We start from the raw sequence: 24,893 nt of genomic DNA, 5'->3' as shown, positions 1-24,893 counted from the left end.
TAAGCCATAACTTTGAGTCTTGACTGGTTCTAAGAACGATACTGCTTATAAATTTAGCAACTCTTGCAATAATTCTACTTTTATCAGGAAATCAATATTCATAAAGGTACTGATGCTAATATGATTATGGCATCAAGAAAAAGTAATTCTGTAAACAGAGGTTTTTTTTTTTCTTTTCCTGTGTCAACAGAAACAAAGATGAATGTGGCTTGGGTGCTTTTCTCTCTCCCATCATTTCTCCAACTTTATTACTATTTTAAGGTATATTTCTATTCATTCTTGCTGCTTGCTTGGTTTCTGTCTGTCTCTCCCCTCCCCTTCTCTCTCTCCTTCCTTTCTTTCATTCCTTCTTCCTCTTGATGTCTCATTTTGATAAACCCATAATTTTTATAAACAAAAAAAAAAAGCACAACTAGAAATTGTGTTTGCTACTTTTAAGAAAGTTATACCTAAAGTCATATCGGTCAAACATAGGAATAAATTTGCCCATCACAATATGGTAGTAGTAGAATAGCTCAAACAGTCTCAATTTCTGTGACTCACACATTATTTGACACAAATGGTCCTTCTAAAAACTGCAAGATGTCTCTACTGAAAAAAATAGGAAAGTAAAATACCGTGTTTTACACTGGTTTCTATATATGCAGTAAGACAAAAGTTACTGAGTTTTTAAAGCGTCTTGCCTTTTAGAAAGATTTGCCCTTCAAACTATGACACACACCTGTTTGTACTGGTGTCACATTACTGATTCAAATACTTCCCATTTCACTGTAGAGTGTATGAAGGCAGATAAAGGGGAAGGAGCTACTCACTAATCAAAGAACAGACACGAACAAAAAGGGTTTGTAGCACTGGGATAGAAACATGCACAGGAAGCTGGACAATTTGTTTTACTCCATTCTTCATTTGGCCTTGAACAAAACTCACCAAGTCTTCCAGTGTTAATTTCTGCTCCCTGACAGACTGTCTATATTCTTAAAAAACATTTTAAATTAAATGCCCTCATAGTCTTACCAAGTCTAATTTATTATTTGAGCCACTTGTCCCCACATGGCACAATCTGTTATTTTGTATAAAGTTCATACAGTAGGGTGGTTCATCTTTCGCACCATATTAAGACAACTTTGGGTCTCATAAAGATAACCTTTCTTAATTAGAATGATACAATAGCCTTTGCAAAAATAGAAGGTACCACAGACACACTAAGAAATGGAGACGTAATTTTTGCCTTGTGTTACCGGCAGTGGTAATGGGTAATAGCATTTTACCCATGTATTCTCACCTTTTCACCTGGTGTTGGATAAACAAAAATATGCACTGGCCAGAAAATTAACCAGAAGTTTAGTGTGGCCATAGAGGATAAAGGTAATCGACCCGTCTTGGTTGGTTTGGGCTGCTATAACAAATATATTAGAGATTAGGTGGCTTAAGTTTACCAAAAATTTATTTTTCACAGTTCTGCAGGCTAGAAAATCCAGAATCAAGTTGATCTTATTCCTAATGCGGAAGATCTTATTCCTGCTGAGAGCCCACTCCCTGGTTTGCACATGGCCACCTTCTTGTATCCTGACATGGCTGAGAGCAGAGAGAAGCAAGCTCTCTCTTGCCTTTTTTTTTTTTTTTTAAGGGTCACTAATCCCATTCACCAAAGCTTCACCCTCAATACCTAATTACCTCCCAAAGACCCCACCTCCTAATACTGTCACATTGGGGATTAGGTTTCACATAGGAATTTTAGAGGAATACAAACATTCAGTCCATAGTACCCATACTGAGAGGAAACCTATAATGTCAGTGATATAATTCATATATGGTTTTCAGAAAAGACTCCTGAATGTTAGTAAACTTTTGTTCTTTTTGTTCTTCAAATTTTATAGTAACTTTCAATAAAAAGTCTAATCATTGCAAAAAAGTGTCTCAAGTACACACACGAACACATACAAGTACATACATGTATATCTATATCTACATACTGGAGATATATATATATACACACATATATATACACATATATATCTGCATATGCACAGACACAGTTCTGTATAACTATTTAAATTAGGCATATTTCAAATGTAGAGATCATGTATATAAGTATTTATGAAACCCTTTCTGAGTTTTTACAACTCAACCACTAAATTTCTTGTATTTAGGTAATTTCTATGGCTCCCAGTAGAATGGAAATGAGGAATTGAGCTAGTGGAAGTTAAGATGGCTCTTGTCACTAATAGAAGAGGAATTTTTGAAATATGGTTGTTGTGTGCTCTGAAAGGTCGAGTTGGGAATGAAACAGGCTTCCACTAAGAATTACTTATTATATAAATTCTGTACATTTTAATCTCTGATGTTCATTTAACTGAAGAATCATCTTTCTGATAGAAACATGTGTCCTCACATATTTAGATAAATACAATGGCTCTTATTTCAGGCCATGGTGTCTTTCTTCACACCAGTTTCCTGCTTGGGCCTGATCATTCAAGTCATTCACTCTATTTAACAGTTACTGAGTGTTTACTGTATTCTGGGCTGCTGAGATGCAACAGTTAACAAGACAGATAGGGTTTCTTTCATGGTGTATGAGCGGGGAGGGAGAGAAAAGGGAGGGGAACAACAGTCAATAACAGGTGATAAACAAGGAAACAAAAACCATTTCAGACAGAGCTAAATACAGTGAAGAGGTTAAAATGCCATTCTCTTACCTGTACCTTCCCTCATCCCTACCCTTACCATTTCTTAGAGACACCATTTTCTGACAACCTCCTTCATGCAGTCCTGAATAGACCGTTTCCTCCTTTTGTGGACCCACTGATCCTACCTCCACTTCTATCATGCCACTTTATTGTATTTATTTGTTTACCTGTCTTATCTTTCCCAACCAGACTTTGAGCCTCTTTGGAGTAAAGGTCAGACATGTTTTCTTGATGATTTTGTAGTTGTAATTCCTGGCACATATTCTGTTTTTGCTGTTCATTGTAACCCTCAAGACACAGCATCTAAAACATTCAATAAATGTCAATTTACCAAATGTGTATGATTTTACAATTTGTATTCTTTCCAATGTATCAAGGGCCTTGAGAAAAATTAATTTCAAAGAACAAGGTATAACATATTCAATAAATGCTAGTCAACTGAATTAATCTGTTCAAGGAGTAAGGGAGCCTAAGGGTGGCCTTTCTATTATTATACAACTCCAGGCTTAGTAGGAATGACTATGTTGATGTGATCACAATCTTCTGCAAAGGTTTTAGGATGTCCTGGTTAGAGCCATGTTCTATCGTTTTAATTCAGCCAGTGTACCATTTTTAAAATTGTTATTACAACTTAAGTTTCATGCTACTAAAGTGATGTGAGAAATTGAATTGAACAGATAGACTAGGTATCATGAGTTAAAAGACAAGCTCAAGAGCACCAAAGAAAAATCTTACATTTTACGGAACCCAGAGAACTTGCTTCCCCAGAGAGTTAGAGCAGTGAATTTTACTCAGGTAATATAGCATTGAAGGACAACCAATTAAATAACTAATTAAATAACCAGCTAAATAATTTGAGGAATGTGGTGTTGCCAGAAATTCCAGTATTTGAAAGCACTCTTTGACCTCACAAGAGCTTTAGGCCATCTATCTGAGGGCTCTAACCAGTCCAGGTGTTTATTCAGTGCCTCCCAGGGACCACCAGTTCCAAGAAAGGGAGAGGAAAATCTCTCGGCATTTGAATAATAAAGAGCTTCTTAAGGTGATTTAGGACTCATCTGCATAATAATGGGTATCGTACAGGCCAGAGAACAAACGCACAGAACTGATTGCTTTGAACATTAATGAGAAAATGCCTTCCCTTGTCGCCTTCCCTGTTCTAGTCGAACCATGCTAAAAGCTCTATTAGGCGTTCGATAATCAGACTTGGATTCTTTTAAGGGTTACGTTTTTAAGATGTTACTTCTCAGGAGGCCAGCCTATCTTTATGGCTTATGTGCTCCTCTATACTTCTTGGTGATTTTTCTCAAGCACAGACTAGAAGCATGTATTAACTGCTGAGTTTTGCCTTCCACCTTCAAAGAATCCAACAGAGCACAGGAAAGCCACAAATCAAATGAAGTGCGTAAGAAGTCTGAGGTCTTCTGCAAAGTAACCAACCCATGTCTGCTCTCTTGTGTGGTCATAGACTTATTTTTTTAGGAAAATTTAGTAAGCAAAAATTTGTGAATAGCAAAAATTATTTTCTGTTTTTATTTTGCTAATGGAGACTCTGATAGATGCTGAATTAGTGAAACTCAGACAGAAAAAACATGTCATTAGGGATAAAGCAATGGGCTTTTCCTGAATTTCTAGATGTGGTCTCTTTATCAAAGGACAAAAAAGAATTGAAAAAGAGAAATAAGGTATACAAACTTCGATTAATATTGGGCAAGTTCTGTTTTATCATTATGGTACCCATTATTCCTAAAATTTATCAGCCAGTATACTAGATGTTTTGTAATTATCTAATTTCAATCTCCCAACAACACTATGTGGCAAGTATCATTAGTCCCACTTTCACAGACAGGAAAATTGAGGCTCAGATATTTCAAGTAATTTGCTCAAGTTCTAATTGGTAGTAAGTTGAAGAACCAGGTTTAGAAACTAAATGTGTATGATTTTAAATTCTCATGGTACATATTCATCATGGAATACTACACAGCCAGAAGAAAGAACAAAATCATGTCCTTTACAGCAACATGGATACAACCGGAGGCCATTATCCTAAGCAAATTAATGCTGGAACAGCAAACCAAATACTGCATGTTCTCACTTATGAGTGAGAGCTAAACATTAGACATACATGGACATAAAGGTGGCAACAATAGATACTGGAGACTACTGGAGTGGCGAGAAACGGACAGAGGCAAGGGCTGAAAAACCACCTACTGGGTACTATGCTCAGTACCCAGGTGATGAGATCATTTGTACCCCAAATCGCAGCATCACACAAAATACGCAAGTAACAAACACACATATATACCCCCTGAATCTAAAATAAAAGTTGAAATTTTAAGACATCCATTCTTTCCAATGTATCTATTGCTTGGAGAAAAATTAATTTCAAAGATTAAACAATGCTCTCCCTCATTTTAAAAAAAAAGTATTTGAGGATAAGATTGATGCTGTGCTTTAGTGCTGAACTACTGGTAATTTTTTTTTTATTTTTACACATTAACTTATAGTAATAATTTTTAGATTTAATTTAAATGCATTTAATTTAACTTATTTAACTTAATTAATTTGCATAACTAAATCTAAGCTCATATTTGTGGAAAGAGATTTGTTAAATATAAGCATGTCCTATCGGTCTTTCTGACCTCATCACAGTTTTTAAATCCAAAACGACAGCTCACAGTGGGATGATGAGAGTTCAGACACACCTTGTGCTAAAAGCAGGAGAGGCAAGTTCTGGAGGACCACATAACAAGTACCGAAGAAAAGACTTAAAATGCTGCCCAATATCAACATCAAAATGAAATTTTACTAGAACAAATGACCTTCAGGAAACAGGAGAGAAAGAAAGGATAGATAGGACAGGATATAGATTAAGGCCCTGAAACAAATGATGTGCTATCATAACTGTGCCAAATTATCTTTGTACCATCACAAAATAAACTGAAGTTATTTCCTCAAATGTCATTCAAAATAAGCATGCTAAACATTTCTTACCATATTTGAGTATTATTCAATTTACTCAAAGGAAATAATCACCTAAGTGAATTTCAGCAAATCTTTTTATACCGTCTCTCTGACTATAACATTCCTTCTTTGTCACAGACACGATTATAGTTTCATGCCCCTATTTAAGATAACCACAATCATAGTTCAGTACCATTACCTAGATATATCTCATGGTGTAATATCACATATCTACCCATTGAGATAAACAATCTTTTGTAGGTTTCTAACTCATTTGCTTTCCAGTGTTTCCCACTTCTTAAGTTGGGTAGAGAAGGGAGAAGAAAAGAGGAAGTTAGAAGAAAAATGATTACCCTCACCAGGAAAAAAAAAAGAAAAACACAGCAATATTAAGAGTAATTCGGAATTGACTCTTTAACATTGAATCACGTAATAAATTTTTTTCCCTATAATTTATAGGTCACATTTACTTTCATCTTCTTATTTTGTGGGAAGGAGAGGTGGTATTCAATTTTCCCCTCTGCCTTGTGTGTTTTCTTTGCAATTGGAAACGTAGCAGAAATGGAGCTGGGAGTGCAGTAACTGGGACAATTGATTTCTTTTTGGTTACCTTGTAATTTCTGGTTGTATTCGGTCCTGTCAGATTGGCTCCTCCTCAAGGTGCCAGAGTGGTCCCCAGAAACACTGCTCTCAACCACAGTGTCAGTCTTCCTTCTCTCCAGCATATAGAGTCTAGACCTCAAGAAGGCCAGATTCTTTTTCTTGGTGACCATGTTTTCTTTCCCAGTGGCTTCTTTGGGCTCCATATTAGGCAAAGACAAGCTTTGGAGGCTTGCAGGCAATGGCTGATTGCTAAGGTGCCTCAGGGTGAGGGTTAAAGCTACTAGAGTGACGAGTTTATCTGCTCCCTTCTAACTAAACCGCTTCACTCCAGGGTTACCTGGCTGTGACTGCCACCACCTCTACGAAGTCCCAGAGCTCCACCCACATGAGGTCATTCTTTTTTAAACCTAGAATCCAACAGGGGAAGCTGCCACCTGTTACCTGAGAGACTTGCAGCACAGAGCTAGGCAAAGCAGGGACTGTGCTGTCACATGCTACTGAAGCAAACAAAAATCCTATTGTATGGGGTGAGGGGTGGGGAAAAAGGAAAATGAACAAGGTGAGGCAGTGAGGAAGGAAGTACACGTTAGCATAACCCGCCGTTTATGGGTTTAATGTGTGCCCATGGGTGTGTGCAGGTGCACTCAGGGCACTGTGTTGTGGTCTGCTGCCTGGAGGCAGACCAGGGCTTGTGCGTGGCTTTTGGCTAGAGTTACTCACAGGTGACCCACGGAGTCAGTGCAGGGGCTATGAGAATTTGCATTTGCATCAAAACGGTGAGTACAGAATCATTTTCAGTGATTACTGTGCACACTCAAAGTTATGCTTCTGCCTTTAAGCGTTGAACATTCAGCAATTATTTACTGAAAACATACTTGCCAAACCCTGATCCGCATTCCTGAGGAAATAAGGATTCACATGTGAGAGTCATCTGGCAGCAGGCAGAAGAAGTGGAGGGGAATGCCCATAGAAGCCTAGAGCCTTTTCAGATTTCTCACTCTCCACAGGCTGCCCTTGCCTGAAATTAATCCTTCCATGGTCCCACCCTGTCCTTTTATGTTTTGGTCCTTAGGAAAATAAGCCCCGTGTCAGGGTTCAGTTTCTATAAGATCTTTTCCCTGTCCCTTTCATAGACGGAGTGCCAGAAAAGGGCATCCCACCTTGGGAATTTAAGGAGAGGAAAAATGTTTGAAACTGAAGGGGCACTACACTTCTAGAAAGTAGAAAGGATAGGGCAGGGATTAAAAGAGAGAAAGGCAGACAGTGATAGGCCTTTCATTAATTTTTTTGAAGTTGTTTTTCCTCATATTTCCTGAGATCTCTCAAGGGAAAAATTCTAAGAAGCTCTGGGAATGTGCTGAGTGCTCTGTATGCCTTCGTTAAAGAAAAGAAAGACCCTAAGGAGGAAAATGGATTCTCTCCTATTGTAAAGGGACCACCAAAATCCAGCTCTGTGCTGACCAGTCTGAATCTTGCATAACTTCTGTTGGAAAAGATTTATAAATGAGGAGAAAGATGTAAAAGTCATTTCCCAGCTCAGGATGTGTGTGCTCAATATAGTTTGCATAATTATCTTAAAAGATAAATGACACATCTTCACCCACTATGGAGACATCTATATATAGCTTGGCGTATTGAATGGCTTTTATTTAATATAATTGATAGTCTTTTTTGAATAAATCCTCCCAAGTACATTTAATAAATACTTTTAAAGGCTTATTTACCTCTAAAATATAAAAGGAATTTTTTGGATTTATGTCAAAATGCCTCAATTGTGTTCGAATATTATATATGTATGAATGTATGTATGCATATACACACTTATTTATATTCACCTGGTAACCACCAGGGATTTATTTAGATACGGTATCACTGAAAAAAAAAGTTCAATTAAAACTACAGGACTTAATGGGTAACATGAGGTTTAGGACAGAGCACTCAGAAACTTTGTCAATGGACCATAAAAATCAGATCAAGACCTAATAAAAATGGTAGCAAGAATTTACACATGATAAATGCTTAAGAAATGCATAAATACTACAGCAAATATAACCCTTTATCTTGAAAAAGACACGGCATTTGCTTGTGGAAATGGGCCTCAGAAAGGTCACAGCTTAAGGGTTGTGAAATGGCAGAAGAAGCATTATTTGAAATCGGGGGAAATTTATTACACCAGATGTGGATGGGTGTGGCTCATAACTCAGGCAGTGAACTGAGGTCACTGGTAAGGTTTGAGGATTGTACCTGTGTGAGTTTTGTGTATTCTTATGTGGCTCAGGTCATCTGGGTAGTTTTCTGCATTCGACTAGTGTTTCAAGTAGACAAAATCACACACAAACAAATGCGAAATTGTGTTATGTTCAAACAATTCCCTAATATGTCAATCTTGTTGGAACAAATTTGTATTTTCAAAACAAGTGTTATAGCAGAACTTATTGTAATAGCTTCATTATACAACCCTGTATTGTTTAACAACAAGGATACATTCTAAGAAAAGCATCATTAGACAATTTTGTCATTGTGTGAACATTATGGAATATATTTTCTTTAAACGTAGCTTCATTATACCATCCTGTATTGTTTAACAACAAGGATACATTCTGAGGAAAGCATTATTAGGCAATTTTGTCATTGTGTGAACATCATGAAATGCATTTACGCACACCTAAATGGTATAGCCTACTACATGTCTAGGCTATATGGTACCGCCTATTGCTCCTGGGCTATAAACCTGTTACTGTACTGAGTACCATAGGCTATTGTAATGCAATGGTAAGTATTTGTATCTCTAAACGTATTTAAACATAGAAAAGTACAGTAAAAGTATGGTATTATAATATTATGAGACCACTATTGTATATGTAGTCCATCTTTGACTGAAACATCATTATACAGCACCTGACTATGTTTTTTATTTTCACCAGTTATTAAGATACATAACAGCTACTATGAGTTCAGTGGTAAATACATATTTTATTTATTCACATTATTTTGAATGTAAAATTTAAGAATGATAGATAAATTCTCTCAGAACAATCTTCTATTCAATCAGGGAATCAGGCAGACACTGTTGGTTGCTTACTTGGTCTTCATTTTTACCGCCTCCTACCCCCATGCTATTCTTTGCCAACAGAACCCTTCTCTTGTTCAAGGCAGCATTAGTCTTAGCCAATCAACGATAATCTTTTTTCCTATTTTTTTTCTATCTCCCTTTCTCTTAGGGTTGGCCATGTAACCCCGGTCCTGGCAAATAGGACCTTTATAATAGTCTGAAAGAATAAGGGGTGGATTATTGATCCTGGGAAAGCTTTTGGTTCTCCAATAAAAGGGGCAGTCTCATCTGGCTTCAACCTTCCCCCTTCTTCTAGACTGATCACAGGGGTAATGCACGGAGCAGTCACAGCCCTCCTGTGTCCATGAGAAAAGACCAAGAGATCCATGGGCTCTGATACCATTGACCTATGGAACCAACATCAGTAGTCATTCACCTTTAGACTTGTTATGAGGGTCAAATAAATCTCCCCTCCCTAAGCTATTGTTAATTGGAGTTCTTGTTGCGAATACAGTTCTAGTGGATTTAACAGATGGTGCTTAATTTACATACAGATTCACAGTTCTCTTGCTTATCTCCTTGACATTTCTTAAGCCAGTGTGTTTAGAATCCCTAGCATAAAACATGACTTAATGACTTAGTTTTGCTAGAAATGAGAACAGCCAGGTCAAAGAGATTTTGAGTGCTTTAACACTGGGGCATCTTTCTAGAGCATCAATGAGACTGGAGAAGCAAGGCCTCTAAGCAAAGGTATAAAAATGCTTTAATACAGAAGGTTGATATTACTTAAATAAATAAAATATTGATATTAAGACATTTAAATGTATTTTGCTTGAATAAGGAACAAACAATTCCCGGTTCATTATTAGGAAAAGCACTGGACAGTGAGTTCAAGACTCAGTTTTAGTCTTGACTGTGATGTAAATCAGCTTCTTGATCTTACGGTTCACATAGTCTCCCTAGGTCCCAATTTCTTCATTTGTAAAATATAAGGGAGAATTCATCATTAGTGCTATTCACTGAATATTTTCAGTTCTCTCTTTAGGCACATGGAGGTATTTCACTTCCCTACACCTTTTTGATTTAGACTTGGCCAAGCAACTTGCCTTGGCCAAAGAAATTGATTGAATGTGAAGGATGTCACTTTTAGCGAATGTTTTAATAACACAGTGGGTGTTTTTGCTATAGCTGTTTTTCTGTCATTCTTGGTACTGGCAAGATTCCAGGCAGTGGCTGCTCCATCAGGATGAGTCCTGGAATGTAGATGACTCAGAACAAAACCCCCAGACACCCCATGATGATTGTATAGTTTGATCATGAAAGAATCCTTTGTTGCTTTAGTCTACTGAGATTTGGGGCTTTTTTTATTACCTAGACTTAGCATAACCTAAACTATTCTTATTAATGTTGGATGTGGATTACTTGATACATAAATCTCTTCACGTCTAGCATTATGTGATCTCAGGATTCTGAAATAATCCAAGGTGATTCTAGATTATAACACTCATAATTCCAAAACAGAAGTCACATCTCTTGAATGATGTCATGAATAAACTAAATTGGAGGAAGGAAAGAGAAAAAGTTAGGAGCTTATTGTAGCAGTCCAGGCAAGAAATGCTTGGACTACAATAGTAGGAATAGGAATGAAGAAAAGTTGATGAATTCGAAATACCTTTTAAGAGTTGAACTGACACAACCTGTAGATGATTTGATTTAAGTGGATGAGTAAAAAATTGAATGAAAGATGAATTCTAGGTTTTAGATTGAATAACTGGGAAGATATTTTGTGCTGTGCACTATTATAGGAGGGAAAAAGCACAGAGGAAGAGTAAGTTTGGTGAGATTATCAAGAATTCAATTTAGGATACATTAGTGTTAAGATGCTTATAAGAGATAAAAGAGAAATGTCAAGTAGCCTTCAGATTTATGAATTTAGAGTCACTATTTAGATTTTAGATAAAAACTGGAGTCATCAAAATATACATGTTATGTTAAGTCATAGATTGATGAGGTCATTTAAGAAGAAAATATGTGAAGAGGAAAAGGATCAAAATCAAACCCTGAAGGACTCTGAGTTTAGAATGGTTTTGGAGGAAAATGCATCAAAGAAAGTAGGAGAGCAACCATTGAGGTAGGAGAAAAACAGTGGAATGTGGCATCATAGAAGTCTAGAAGCAAGTTTTTCCAAAATGAAAGGATAGCCTGCCAGGAAACCAAATGAAATGAAAATAATTCCTTTTAATTTGACACAATGTTGATTATTTATAAGTTTTTCCAAAGGAGTTTTGGTAATATGTAGAGGAAAAAGCAGGAATAGAAGGAATTTTGCTAAAGGAGATAAGAACATTGAAACGTGGGAATAACACTGCTGAGAACATTTGCAATCATTTATTATTATTATTTCTCTTATTTTAGTTTCAGGAGGTACATGAGCAGGTTTGTTTTATAGGTAAATTGCATGTTATGTGGGTTTGATGTACAGATTATTTCATCACCCAGGTTATAAGCATAGTACCCTAGAGGTAGTTTTTCAATCCTCACCCTCCTCCCATCCAAAACACTCAACTAGGCCCCAGTGCCTGCTGTTCCCTTCTTTGCATCCATGTGTACTCAGTGTTTAACTCTCACTTATAAGTAAGAACATGCAGTATTTGGTTTTCTGTTTCTGTGTTAGTTCACTTAGGAATATGGCCTCCAGCCGCATCCATATTGCTGCAAAGGACATAATCTCATTCTTTTCTTTGTGGCTGCATAGTATTCCATGGTGCATATGTACCTCATTTACTTTCTCCAATCTACCACTGATGGGCATCTAGGTTGATTCCATGTCTTTGCTATTGTGAATAGTGCTGCAATGAACATATGTGTGCATGTGTTTTTATGCAGTCATTTATTATTATTGGGCAATTACTATATGTAAGGATTATACCTAAGTAAAATAGTGAGAAAGGTAGGATAATATTTATATTTTTAAAATATGGGAACAGTTTCAGGGAAGTTAAATAATTTTCCCAAGATCAAATAGCTAGTAAATGATGGAGTAACTCAAATTCAGGCCCCTCTTACAGGAAAGTCTGTGATCTTAGCCACTCTGCTGTATACCAAGTGCCTAGCAAACTGCCCGACATACAGCAAGCATACAACAAATGTACTTTTCTCCACTAAAGGTATCTAGAAACAATTCCTCATTACCTTTCCTTTATTTTTTGGGATGAGTTCAAGGGATGTGAAATTTTATGACACCTCAAGTGATTTTTATGCACAGTTCAACTTTGAGAATTCCTGCAAGCATTCTCCTTGTCTCCAGTGTCTCTCTACTCCTGTTCATCTTGCCTAATGTCTCTTGAGTGTCCTTTTAAACTATAAATTGGATCGTGTCATTCTTCAGATTAAAAAAGCTTATTGGATTGTTTCCCATTCATGTAGGAGAAAATCCAAATATTATGTAGGCCTCAATTAGACTGTCTAATTTCATTTCCAGTTGCTTACTGTTCTAGTTTTAATTGCTGAATAACAAATCACTTCCAGCACTTAGTTGCTTAAAACAATGCTTATCATTGTATTAGCTCTCACAGTTTCTGTGGGCCAGGAATTTGGGAAAGGCTCAGCTAAGTAGTTCTAACTCAGATCTTTCATGTGGTTGTTGGCAGATATTGGCTGAAGCTAAAATGGCAAGTAGCTAGGACAGCTATGGGTTGATCAGGCATCCTCCTCTCTTGATAGTTTCAGGGCCTTTCCTTTTGATCTCTCCATGGGACCTAGTTTGGGTTTCTTTCCCTGCATAGCAGCTTGAGGGAAGTCAGACATTGATATGGTAGCTCAAGTTTCCAAAGGGTTTTCCTATGAGAGCCAGGCAGAAAATCTATCATCTTTATGACCTATTCTATGAAGTCACATAGCATTACTTCCACTGTTGTTGCAAAGCCTACTTTCTCAATGAGCACAGAATCTCTCTTCTCAATGAGAGGAGTATCAAAGTCACATTATAAGAAGAGCATATGGAATGGGAGAAATTGCTGTGGCTATTTGGAAAAATGCATTCTGACTCACTGTGATGGTTAATACTGAATGTCAACTTGATTGGATTGAGGATACAAAGGTATTGATCCTGGGTGTGTCTGTGAGGGTGTGGCTAAAGGAGATTAATGTTTTAGTCTAGGGGCTGGGAAAGGTAGACCCACACTTAGTCTGGGTGGGCACCACCTGATCAGCTGCTAGCGCAGCTAGAATATAAAGCAGGCAGAAAAACGTGAAAAGGCAAGACTGGCCTAGCCTCCCAGCCTACATCTTTCTGCCATGCTGGGTACTTCCTGCCCTTGAACGTCGAACTCATATATATATGAGCTATGTATATATATATATCTCCTATTAGTTCTGTCCCTCTAGAGAACCCTGATTAATACACTCACATAGTCATTACATACCATGTATTCTATTTTCTTTGGGGATTGATTTTGTTTAAGCTGTTTATTATACATGAAATTGCCTTCTCTATCCTCATGAAATATGACACACCTTTCATGATACAACTTAATGTCCCCTCCTCTGTGACATTTCCCTCCTGCTCCTTGAGCACAATCACTCCCTCCCTCTTCTGAAATCACAAATCAGCATACCTCCATCATAGTAGAGGGAGCTCTGTACATTATGTGACTCTAGTTACATTATGAGTTCTTCAAGGAATTTGCCTTTGAAACTCTTATCATGACTAGCAATATGAGATCAATAAATGTTTGCTGTTGTTGGAAGTCAGGCATAGCAGCTTAAGATCATGTGCAGCCTACCAATGTATGGGGAGAGGCTTAGATGCAAGCTGCTAATTTTTTTTCCCCTCTCTATGATCAGTACCCTCTCTCCTGGAAAGAAAAAATATAGATTTGGAAGCAAAGAGAAATTCAGGGAATATTATTTCCTCAAAGATGAGATCATTAATGTATTTGTGAGACGACCATAAAGCCAGCTTTGAGAGCTCTCTATTCAACTATAAATTGTTCATACTGGCCCTGCTATCTTGTAGCTCTGTTTTTATATTCACTGCTGTGCTTCCTGAAAGCAACAATTTCTGCTAATGCACTGACCAAGCAGCAGCATAATAATCCTGTCAGCCAACAATGGATGGGAGCTGAGGATTGAAAGGAGGTAAACCTTCTAATGTTTTCATCCTCTTGACTGAAGTAATTTTAGCAATGACATATGATAGTACTTGGGCCTTTGTCTCAGCTGTAATGAATCATCCATTACAAGATTTTCAAGGTTGTTGGGGGGAAATTTATATAGGGAAGGGGAAGAATCTTTGCAAGTGCATGAGGTGGCCTGGCTATGATCAAAACCAGCTACATAAGCAAGAAAAGATACCACTGGAATCTTTGAAAACTGCTTATATAATGTTGCCAGGGTCTAAGTCAGATCACTGGCTTCAATTTCCAATAGTTTATGATCTTAGAGAATCCATTTAAGAGTTACTCAGCAGAACAGCAACTTGTATTAAAGCAACCAATACAGGAGATGAACTATTCTTATTTTCCAGGGAGAATTCAGAATTAATTCTTTTGCTCCTTCTGTATAATTTCTCTCATCTTTATGTCCTAAAATTTGCACCTACTTGATTTTAGATCACTTTTGAGACAGAACTACAGGTAAATTTTATTTTAATTATAAGCAGCCAGCTTCCTGTTTCTTTTATTCTAAGTATTTGAATTCAGAAATATTTATTTAAAAGAAAATCTTAATATTATGGTTGAATGTTTAAATGTACATGTTATAGTAATATCATGTTTTATATGCAGGATTATATGTTGCAGACTCATAAAATATGGCCATCAAATGATCCTAGAAGCTCAAGTTAAAACAAATGATCCTTTGTTCTTCCACTTCCCAGGCATTTTCATTTTTATTTCACTTGGTTTTCATTTGTGCAGAAACCTGTTCATCATGACAGCTTGGTATATTGACTCCAAATATATATTTGTGCTTTTTTAACTTCAAGTTGAAAAACAGTAGTTATAGATGACTAGGAGAAAAAGTGTATTTTTAATAAGTGCAGCAAAGTCTCATGTAAATCAATTAAGCTAAGAAGCATTTTTTATGGCTTGAGTGACTTTGAAAAGTACATTGGCTACTGAACTAATCATAGAACTTAGCTTTATAAAATTTGAGATTTTTCTGTGAATCTTCCAATTTCTCTCTTGATATAGGATAAACCACTTACCCTCCCTGACTCAGTTTCTTCACCTTTTAAGGCTGAGCTTCAGATTGATCTCAGTGTTTCATAGAGCTGTATTGCTACTCCTTTTCAGAATATGATTAAATTCAAAATTATAGTATCCATGGTAACCATAACTAGGTCAGTTTGCACTTGGAGTAACAAATAACTGTGGAGAATCTGTATCCTTTTCCAACCATCCTCTGTGTTTGCAAAACCTCCTTAGGCTGCTGCAAGTAAGTAGCTCTGCAGAAAAAGATCTAGTAGCATCCAGGAGAGAGTTACATTCTTATTCATTTGTGATCTACACACCCATCAAACTTCATGCAAATTAGGCAATGTATATGTGATTTTATTTCACCCAACCAACATGAATATTTAAGTAATGATTTTACCAGTAAAGCTTTAATTATTTATTTTAAAATATTGTGATTAATGTCTAATAAAATTAACACCTAGAGAATTTCTGTAAAAAGAATTGCAGTGGCATGCAGATGCCTTCTTTCCACTTTGGTCACAGCTAATTTTTTTCCTTCAGACCTAATATTTTCTTATTGAACCAAGAAAATATTTATTGTTCCTTTCCACTTACCACCCAAATATTTTTATCTAACAGCATATGTAACATGAACTGTTTTTGATAAAATCAATTATATTTATGTACTTTTATTTCACATATAGAAAAAATTTGAACAGATGTGTACATGGACACTGGAACTGGAAGGAAAGTGAGGGGAATTTTCCCTTTCCCTTTAAACACTCTGTGTTTGACATTTTAAAATAATCTAGCAGACACTAAATTTTTTATAGCACTGGATCCTCCTTCAAGTCACCAAGTCAAAATACTGTCCCTTCTTTAAATCAATAAGTAGAACAACAGCTTTAAGAATAACTACCATTTATTTGAGCACCTTACTGTGTCGTGCTATTTATATATTCTTAGGATTGTTCAGGCAATCCTCAGAAAAATTCTGTGAAGCAAATATTATTATTACTGTCTTACAGATGCAGAATCAAGACTGAAAGAAGTTAAGTAACTTCACTCTAGATCATCTGGTAGAGGGTATAAAGGAGATCTAGCCCTGGGAAGTTAGGCTCTAAAACCTGTGCCGTTCCTATGAAAGCACATTTCCTTCATAAAAGGGTAACTTACATCTTGTCTTTTCTGTAGTCTCTAAGTGGTTGATTCCATAAGAAAGTACTCAAAGCCAGTGACTGTTGAACTCAGTTTTAGCATTTTTGGAAACTGAGATCCAAAAAGTGTAAATGATTGTGAAACGGGCTTCAGTGGCTTCGTTGCAAATCTAGAACTAAACATCTTTTTCTTTTGCTACAAAATGTTGTAAATACTGAAAACAATTTCTCATCTAATTCACTATTGCAAGCTGTCGCATAATTTGGCTATAATCTTGAAGCCAAATGGCTCATTTTGCAGGCATTATTTGCACAGCCATTTCCTTTCTTTTTTTGTGGCAGTATATGTGTGGATTAGGAGTAACTCACAGCAACCAAAAGTAAACTAAAAACAAATATGTCATTTGATTTTAAATGTGCTAAATTTTGTCCTGATGTTAGTATAAATAGTGTATAAACAAGATGTGCACACTACTTGGGGTGGGATATAAGGTCATGAATCCTTAATTGTAAAGAAACCAAAAAGTTTTTAGAAAAAGAGTAGGTGGAGAAAACAGAAGATTATTGAACAGGCAATAATAAGAGAGATTTAGTGAGAGACTATAAAAGGCAAAAAAAAAAGAGAAACAGCTCAGAGACTCTGAACTGAGACTATGTCCACCCCAAAAGAAGACTTTATGCAGGGGAATTCTGGAAGCAGACTTTTAAATAGGCTAATATGTAATCAAGTCCTGGGCAGACTATAGGGTAGCAAGTTTAACCTATTGCTGGGAAAAGGAGCTGGATATAAAAAAAAGGAATCTTGACCCCTCTGTGACCAAAGTTTAAGAAAGAAACATTTAGCGTATTATTAGGGTGAGATATATGACTGTGTGTGTCTTGAGTGCAGAGAAAGGAGGCAGGGATACTCAAGGGTTGACAGAAAAATGGGTGTAGCAACACGTGTGATGGGATAGAAAAAGTCACAGGAAAGCCATATGCGATTGCAACTTTGAGATAAGGTGAGTAAACCCACATGTGTCTGTACTCATGTCTTACCGCTTTTACTGATACTCATTTTCATTTCAGTTTCAAGAAATCATTTAAGTCCTTTTTTCTCTGAAGGTAAATCAAAGTGAAAGAAGTCATTAAGTCAGGTAACAAATACTTATCAAGTGCCTGTTGTTTGCTGGACATAGCAGGAGTGCTCCCAGGCAAGGAATAGACACCTATTTTTCAGACTTCTGATCTCTTTGGGGATTGCCAAAATGACCTCAAGTAGTGAAGATATAGTGGAATAATCTGTATTTCTGCTGACCTTGATGACATTTGGTGAGTGTTGTGACCTTGGTGGCACTGATCACATTTTTTTCAAAGATGTATAATCTGTCAAAAGCAAATTGGATCAGGATCATAACAAGGCTTTGCTGTTCATCATTTTCCGTAAATTAAGCCTTGTATGGGGGCAAAAAGTATGCATGGGAAACATTCAATTTACTAGTATTATTGCCTTACCTAGTCTCTTATCTCATTGTTTCCTACTGTTCTTCATGCATCAGGAAACAAAGATGACTGAAGTGCCTCTTGGATGCTGATTAATTCAGTGTTTCCTCCATCGATAAGCACCAATTTCCCATAAAAATATAACAGAGTGCTAATACAGAAGAGAAGGGCAATCTCCCTCAAATTATAATACGTAAGGCCTACTGTACAGTTTCCCCCAGACTTATTTAGGTATAGTCCAAGGTGATTTGAAATACTGATGCTAAACTGTCTCTGTCTGGGTCCCTGTGGCCTACCTCCATGATAGGTCTGAAGGTTTCCTGAAATGCCATTCTCTCTGTAATATTTTCTATATGGGGTTTTATTAATAGCATTTTACATTTTTCTAGTGTTTTTTGCTAAAGTTTATGTCTTGATTTGAATTTTAGTGTTTCTCAATTAAACCACCCATTTATTTAGTATTGCTTAGGGTGAATTTACTTATATAGCTATCAGATTTCATCCATTGTATGTTGAATTTCCCCAGTTTTTAAACAATAACTAATCTGTCTGTTTTAAGTGGACTTTGTACATTCTTCACAGACTAACCATAGCCTTAGAAATACAAGGTATAATTTAAGCAGAGAAGTTACATGTTTTAAAAATCACTACTACAAGTGGTCTTCAAAAGGTTTATGGAAAATGCATATTATAAAAAAACTATGCGTGAATTTCAAAAATGTTTTTGCACCAAAATACACTTGTGCTAACTTTTTGTAACATGTCTGAACAGGATCTCATTTGAGGTACTAAGAAGAATAAGCAATTGGTTTGAAAAAAGCCCTTTTAAGAGCAAAATGAATTCTGCTAAAGTTGAAGCAGGAACAAATATCAAATTTATGGTGAAGCTCAGGTGGAAGAATGATGAAATCACTGATGCTTTACAAGAAGTTTATGGGGACAATGCCTTAAAGAAATCAGCAGTTTACAAATGGATAACTTGTTTTAGGAAAGGATGAGATGCTGAAGATAAATCCTGCAGTGGCAAATTCATCCACATCAATTTGTAAGGAAAAAATTTATCTTCTTCATGCCCTAACTAACCAACATTTAATAGCTTGGACAATAGCCAACACCACAGACATCTCAATTAGTTCAGCTTACACAATCCTGACTAAAAAATCAAAGTTGAGCACCTTCCACTCAATTGGTGCCAAAACCATGGCACCCAGATCAACTGCAGACAAGAGTGGAGCTTTCCATGAATATTTTAAACAACTGGGATCAAGATCCTGTAGCATTTCTCAAAGAATAGTAACAAGAGATGAAACATAGCTTTACCAGTATGATCCTGAAGACAAAGCACAATCAAAGCAATGGCTACCAAGAGGTGGAGTGGTCCAGTCAAAGCAAAAGCAGACCAGTCAAAAGCAAGGGTCATGGCAACAGTGTTTTGGGATGCCCAAGGCACTTTGTTTGCTGACTTGCTGGAAGGCCAAAAAACGATCACATCTGCTTATTATGAGAGTGTTCTGAGAAAGTTAGCCAGAGCTTTAGTAGAAAAATGCCTGGGAAAGCTCCACCAAAGAGTCCTTCTCTACCATGACAATGCTCCTGCTCATTCATCTCATCAAACAAGAGGAAATTTGTGACAGTTTCAATGGGAAATCAATAGGCATCCACCTTATAGTCCTGATTTGGCTCCTTTTAACCTGTTTTTGTTTCTTAGTCTTTTTTTAAAAAAATCTTTAAAGGGCAATCATTTTTCTTCGGTAAATAATGTAGAGTGCATTGACATGGTTAAAAAGACTGCATTGACATGGTTAAATTACCAGAACTCTCAGTACATTAGGTATGGATTAAATGGCTGATATATCACTTTCTCATCAATTTCAAGACATTTTTGTTTTCTCATATGATGCATCATGAAGCAAAGATGACTGAAGTGCCTCTTTGTACCTGATAGTTTCCCAATGTGTTTTTATAATTTTAGGTTCTAAGCTTATTTTTAATATGTATGTGTTTCTCCTGTAGAAAATCTTGGTTGATAATTTGTCCTTTTGCTACTTCTAGGCTTCCCAGGATATCCCAATTTCAGAGCACTTTTTATGTTAATTTCTCACTTAGAGGTTGGCAAACCTCACATATATTACCTATTTCAATTATAAGCCCCCAAATTTATGTGAGGGGAGGCATGGTTACAAACTCATAGGGAAGACATTTTCCTCTTTACTTAGAGCCCAAACCAAGACATTCATTTATGCAATAAAAGCTTACTAAGTTACTGTGCTAAAGACTAGGGATGTCATAAGAAACAGGCAAAATCTCTGCTCTCATGAAAGTTATATTTTGGAAGAATATCCTTGTGCTGATGGGGAAATTTTCTAGTCCTCCAGCAGGAATCTCAGTTTTCACTCCCTGACTCCATTAGGCTCATGGCCTCATTTCATATTCTTTTATGGTTATTATAACCCATTTCCATGATTACCAAGGCTGGCAATATTCTTTCCTCCACCATCTTCAAATTGACCTTACCATTTTATTTTGCCTTCTTCATTTTTGGCAAGTAGGAGCTTGGCTTACTTTATTGTAAGCTCAGCTATACATTTAAAAGTAAATATACAATTTCTTTTCATCATTTCTATGGGTTTGGTGGCACAGGGAGTTACAATATCTGGTCTACCACATTGCAGGAACTAGATTTCCCCAGATGACTAACTCTTCAGTCAAAAGTCTTCTTTTTTCCCCGCCTCAAACACTTTAGATTTACTTATGCCACTGTGGAAAATTATTTCCACTGTCCTTGAAGTCCCCTTTCCCAGGTTTTCCCTCTGCTGTTTTTTTCTAATCTTTCACGGTGTGCTCAAATGTTACCTCTTCAAAGAGGCTTTCCTGGAAAACCTCACCTTGAGCACTCTATCTCACTCACTAATTTCTTTGTTTTTTTTCTTATTTATAACTTTATCAGTATTTTGAATTATTATACTTATTTATTTACTTACTTGTTGATCATGCCTCTATTCCACTGTAATGCAACTTCCATGACAGCATGATCTTTTTTGTCTTGTTTATCATTATTTCTCTAGGGTCAGTCTACCACTACTTTTATTGTCTTGGCAGAATTAGGTGTCTCCTGAGGTGATGCAAAAAGAAAAGACATTATCAGTGATGGCTTCTAACCAAGGATTCAAGGCTTCTGATTTAAATTCTATATTATAGCCATCACAGGGGTGAAGGCACAAAGTAAATGACACCAGAAAGAGGATTTAACACAAAATCCGAAACTTGGGATATTTCACAGGATAAATTGCTGAGCCTCTTCAGCAAATAAGTGTCTAGCAAATCCTGTATTAGTATCTTTAGTGATCATACCTGAATTTGCTCTCCAAAGGCACCATATCTATACATTCTTAGTATCCTATCTGTTTTAAGCAGATAATAAAGTCAGCTAAACCTTCCCTTACTGTTACACACTGAGTAAGTGCAATTTGGATGGTTTGAAGATATTAAATCTTTCAGCCCAGATTTAAGAATACCTGTTTGAGAGAAATTACAAGAGCTTTTAATGCTTGCTACAGAAAGGTAATGTCTTATCTTTTCTGTTTAGTATTTTGCATTCCAAAAAATGAGAAAAGTTATTCCATAAGTTGATAATTGAATAAAAGAATCAAAACATGCATGGAGGTTTTTAAATGTTTCATTTTAAATTTGATGGCAAAGATGCTATGAAAATGTATTAATAGCTAACATTTATTGAACAGAAGGCACTCCAAGTGGTGCTCATAGATTATGGCACTTAATCCTCACAAGAACTTTATGAGATATGTATTGTATCAGTCTGTTCTTGCATTGCTATAAAGGAATACCTGAGACTGGGTAATTAATAAAGAGATTTAATTGTCTCATGGTTCTGCAGGTTGTCCAGGAAACATGGTGCTGGCATCTGCTCAGCTTCTGGGGAGGCCTCAGGAAACTTACAATCATGGTGGAAGGCAAAGGGAGAGCTGGCACTTCACATGGCCAGAGCAGGAGGAAGAGAGTGGTGAGAAGGTGCTACACACTTTTAAACAACCACATCTCATGAGAACGAACTCACGTCATGAGAACAGCACTGAGTGGAATGGTGTTAAACCATTCACGAGAAACCACCTCCATGATCCAATCACCACCCACCAGGCTCCACCTCCAACACTGGGGTTTACAATTCAACATGAGATTTGGATAGGGACACAGATCCAAACAATATCAGGTACAATGCTTCTTTTGTTTTATAGATGGGGATGACTAAGTCAGGGAGTTTGAATAATTTGTCCAACATCATAAATACTAGGTGATGATGTCACAATTAGTACACAGGTATAAAAGTTCCTAATTATTATGCCACATATATCATTGATAAAACACTTACCTTTTTAAAGAAACTACTTTCTAATTGTTTTGGACTAATTATGTTTTCATTATTAGGACACCTCTCTCAGGACCAGTGTGAGACTGACACATAGTAAGCAATGAGTAAATATAGTTATTATTCCTATGATTTTCAACAGATAAATAAGTCACATCCTCACTGACCTCATATTTCTCACTGTGAAAAAAGAGAATAACTTTCTAAATTGCTAGAACTTTATTTTATAAGTCAGAACAGGCACTGGCACTAACAATGACACATTTTAATAGCCTATCTCTAAGCAATATTATTGACAGAACAAAACTCAGCTTTATTGATAAATGCTAATCTGTATCTGGCTGCTAAGCTATAGTAGAAAAAAATTGTCCTTAGACCAATAATAACTCAGTCTCAATTATCCAACAGATAAATCTCCTAAAGTTCATCCAAAGATGAATATAACTCAAAATATGTGTTATTTTTCTAAAGTTGTTTACTCAAAGTCGAGGGCAGAAAAATATTTGAAGTTTTTAGTGCAAGCACAAGTATTCCAATCGGTATTACAGGTCTCACTTTTGTTTTTCAAACATGTATCTAATTGATTAAAATACAAAGACATGGTTCTCCTTTAAGAAACAAGTAGGGAGCATTTCTTATATTTACATTTGACCTATAGTTTACAAACCAAAGACTAAAGTTAAAATACTGTAAGTCCATTAAACTCCTAATGGATATGTTTATTCCCCAACCCCTGCCACTAAAATTTATTGCGATTTGTCTTATGATTATAAAGTGAGAAGCGTTCATTATAGACAGTATTGAAAACATGTAGGAAGTAATTCCAAAACCTAGAAGGAATACTATTTTTTCATATATAGGACATCCTTTCAGTGTTTTCTCTATATGTCTCTCTATGTACATTTCTATGCAAATATAAAATTATACCTTGTATATTTTGTAACTATTTTTAATGGAGAATATGTAGTGATCATATCCTTATGTCATATATTAGTAGGCGTAATTTATGTAACTACTTGTCTCGAGTTAGAATTAGGTATTCTCATTTTTTTCTTTATTACAGATAATAAGTCATTGAACATCCTCGCACATAAATCTTTGTGTACAAGATCTTCTCTCACCTTTCCACAGACAAGACAGATGTCTTCTAGAAAACTAAAATATGATTCCAGAAACATTAATTTGTTAGTTCAGTGATATTTTATAAATTACTTGTTCATATTTACAGTTATAGAACATTTTTCCTCTGAACATTCTGAGCAGTTTTATATTAAAACTTACTTGTTATTGTTTAATGGAACCATTTATTTTAGTGATAGGAATAAAGAATGTGGCAGGAAAGGATCTGGAGTCAGAGGACAGAGAAAGAAAAATGGAAAACTCTTTTGTGCCTCATTCTTTTGCTCTTGCTATTCCTTTATTTCAGAATACTTGTCCCTGCCTTGTCTACCTAAATAACTTTTATTCGGTCTCCTAAATTTACATTCAGCTATAATGTCATTTCTCCATGTGTATGTAGTGGTTCTAAATGGGTGTTTTCTTAGTTTTTTGTTTTTTTTTTTTTTTTTTTTAGAAAAAGAACTTTCTTTTATATATAGTAGAATACATATGAATCATCCTGGCAAATTTATGAAGGTTTTAAACATAGGTAAAAAGTTGTTTACCTGGGTCCTTTGGACAAATTTCTCTTCTTCTTTTATCCTTTTGCAAAGAGAACAAAGATCAGCAAATACTAGCAGCCTAAAGCTACACTATGTGTGGCTTTGCATGCCTACCAATCTTTAGTGTTCCCTTGACTCCTGAAAACAATGGATTCTATCATATCATGGATATTAAGAGGCACATTAACGCTTTCTTGTGGAAACAGATGTTTGGTGGGCTTGTGTTTGTAGATGAGACATATTAAATACATCTATGTTCATACAGCCTTCCCTTATAATGTCTTATTATTTTGCTATTTGTTTTTTGTTCGTTTGTTTGTTTTTTAAGATGGAATCTCGCTCTGTCACCCAGGCTGGAGTGCAGTGGTGCAATTTCGGCTCACTGCAAGCTCCGGCTCCCAGGTTCACACAACTTTCCTGCCTCAGCCTCCCGAGTAGCTGGGACTACAGGTGCCCACCACCATGCCCGGCTAATTTTTTGTATTTTTTTAGTAGAGACGGGGTTTCACCGTGTTAGCCAGGGTGGTCTTGATCTCCTGACCTCATGATCCGCCTGCCTCGGCCTCCCAAAGTGCTGGGATTACAGGGGTGAGCCACCGCTCCCACCCCTGCTATTTGTTTTTATAGATGACCTAACAAATCATGTCTAAAACTAACAGTTTGTTCAAATTGTTTCTTCAGTTGCTAAAATATTTAGCCCTACTCACCATGGAAGTTCCAGAAA

General features: G+C 36.4%; 1 protein-coding gene and 1 long non-coding RNA gene across 13 annotated transcripts in view, besides 2 other annotated features; one reads left to right on the top strand and one right to left on the bottom strand.

Annotated features, from left to right (window-relative positions):
- ARHGEF38 (Rho guanine nucleotide exchange factor 38) overlaps window positions 1–6,603 on the bottom strand; it is a 129,947-nt gene extending 123,344 nt beyond the window's left edge. For all 9 annotated transcript variants that reach the window (XR_938749.4, XR_007057934.1, XR_938750.4 and 6 more), the window contains exon 1: window positions 6,262–6,603. Coding sequence is in view for 3 of the 9 variants with exons in the window: in NM_001242729.2 (NP_001229658.1) it covers window positions 6,262–6,457 (196 nt within the window). In the remaining 6 variants the exon portion in view is untranslated. The remainder of the gene's footprint in view (window positions 1–6,261) is intronic.
- Window positions 2,345–2,894: an enhancer, noted in NCBI's record as "NANOG-H3K27ac hESC enhancer chr4:106477486-106478035 (GRCh37/hg19 assembly coordinates)". NCBI's record gives its function as "activates a minimal SCP1, AML or CMV promoter by ChIP-STARR-seq in primed H9 embryonic stem cells {active_cell/tissue: H9 hESC(primed)}" and the evidence as "EXISTENCE:reporter gene assay evidence [ECO:0000049][PMID:30033119]".
- Window positions 3,446–3,995: an enhancer, noted in NCBI's record as "OCT4-NANOG-H3K27ac hESC enhancer chr4:106476385-106476934 (GRCh37/hg19 assembly coordinates)". NCBI's record gives its function as "activates a minimal SCP1, AML or CMV promoter by ChIP-STARR-seq in naive H9 embryonic stem cells {active_cell/tissue: H9 hESC(naive)}" and the evidence as "EXISTENCE:reporter gene assay evidence [ECO:0000049][PMID:30033119]".
- Window positions 6,604–6,938: 335 nt separating the features above from the next.
- Window positions 6,939–24,436, top strand: LOC105377352 (uncharacterized). Of its 4 annotated transcripts, NR_188418.1 has the most exons (5): window positions 6,939–7,030; window positions 16,514–16,652; window positions 17,747–17,953; window positions 18,897–19,169; window positions 22,020–24,436. It is a non-coding gene; the product is annotated as an uncharacterized LOC105377352 (long non-coding RNA). The 4 variants fall into 4 exon arrangements; NR_188419.1 differs by lacking the exon at window positions 22,020–24,436 and having other exon boundaries at window positions 16,514–17,643; window positions 18,897–21,780; NR_188421.1 differs by lacking the exons at window positions 6,939–7,030; window positions 16,514–16,652 and adding an exon at window positions 14,361–14,445.
- The last annotated feature ends 457 nt before the right edge of the window (window positions 24,437–24,893 follow it).

The sequence above is a fragment of the Homo sapiens genome, chromosome 4 (genome assembly GCF_000001405.40).
Source record: "Homo sapiens chromosome 4, GRCh38.p14 Primary Assembly".
Lineage (NCBI taxonomy): Eukaryota > Metazoa > Chordata > Mammalia > Primates > Hominidae > Homo > Homo sapiens.
The sequence above is the reverse complement of the archived record's forward strand: the minus strand, read 5'-3'. Positions and strand labels throughout refer to the sequence as shown.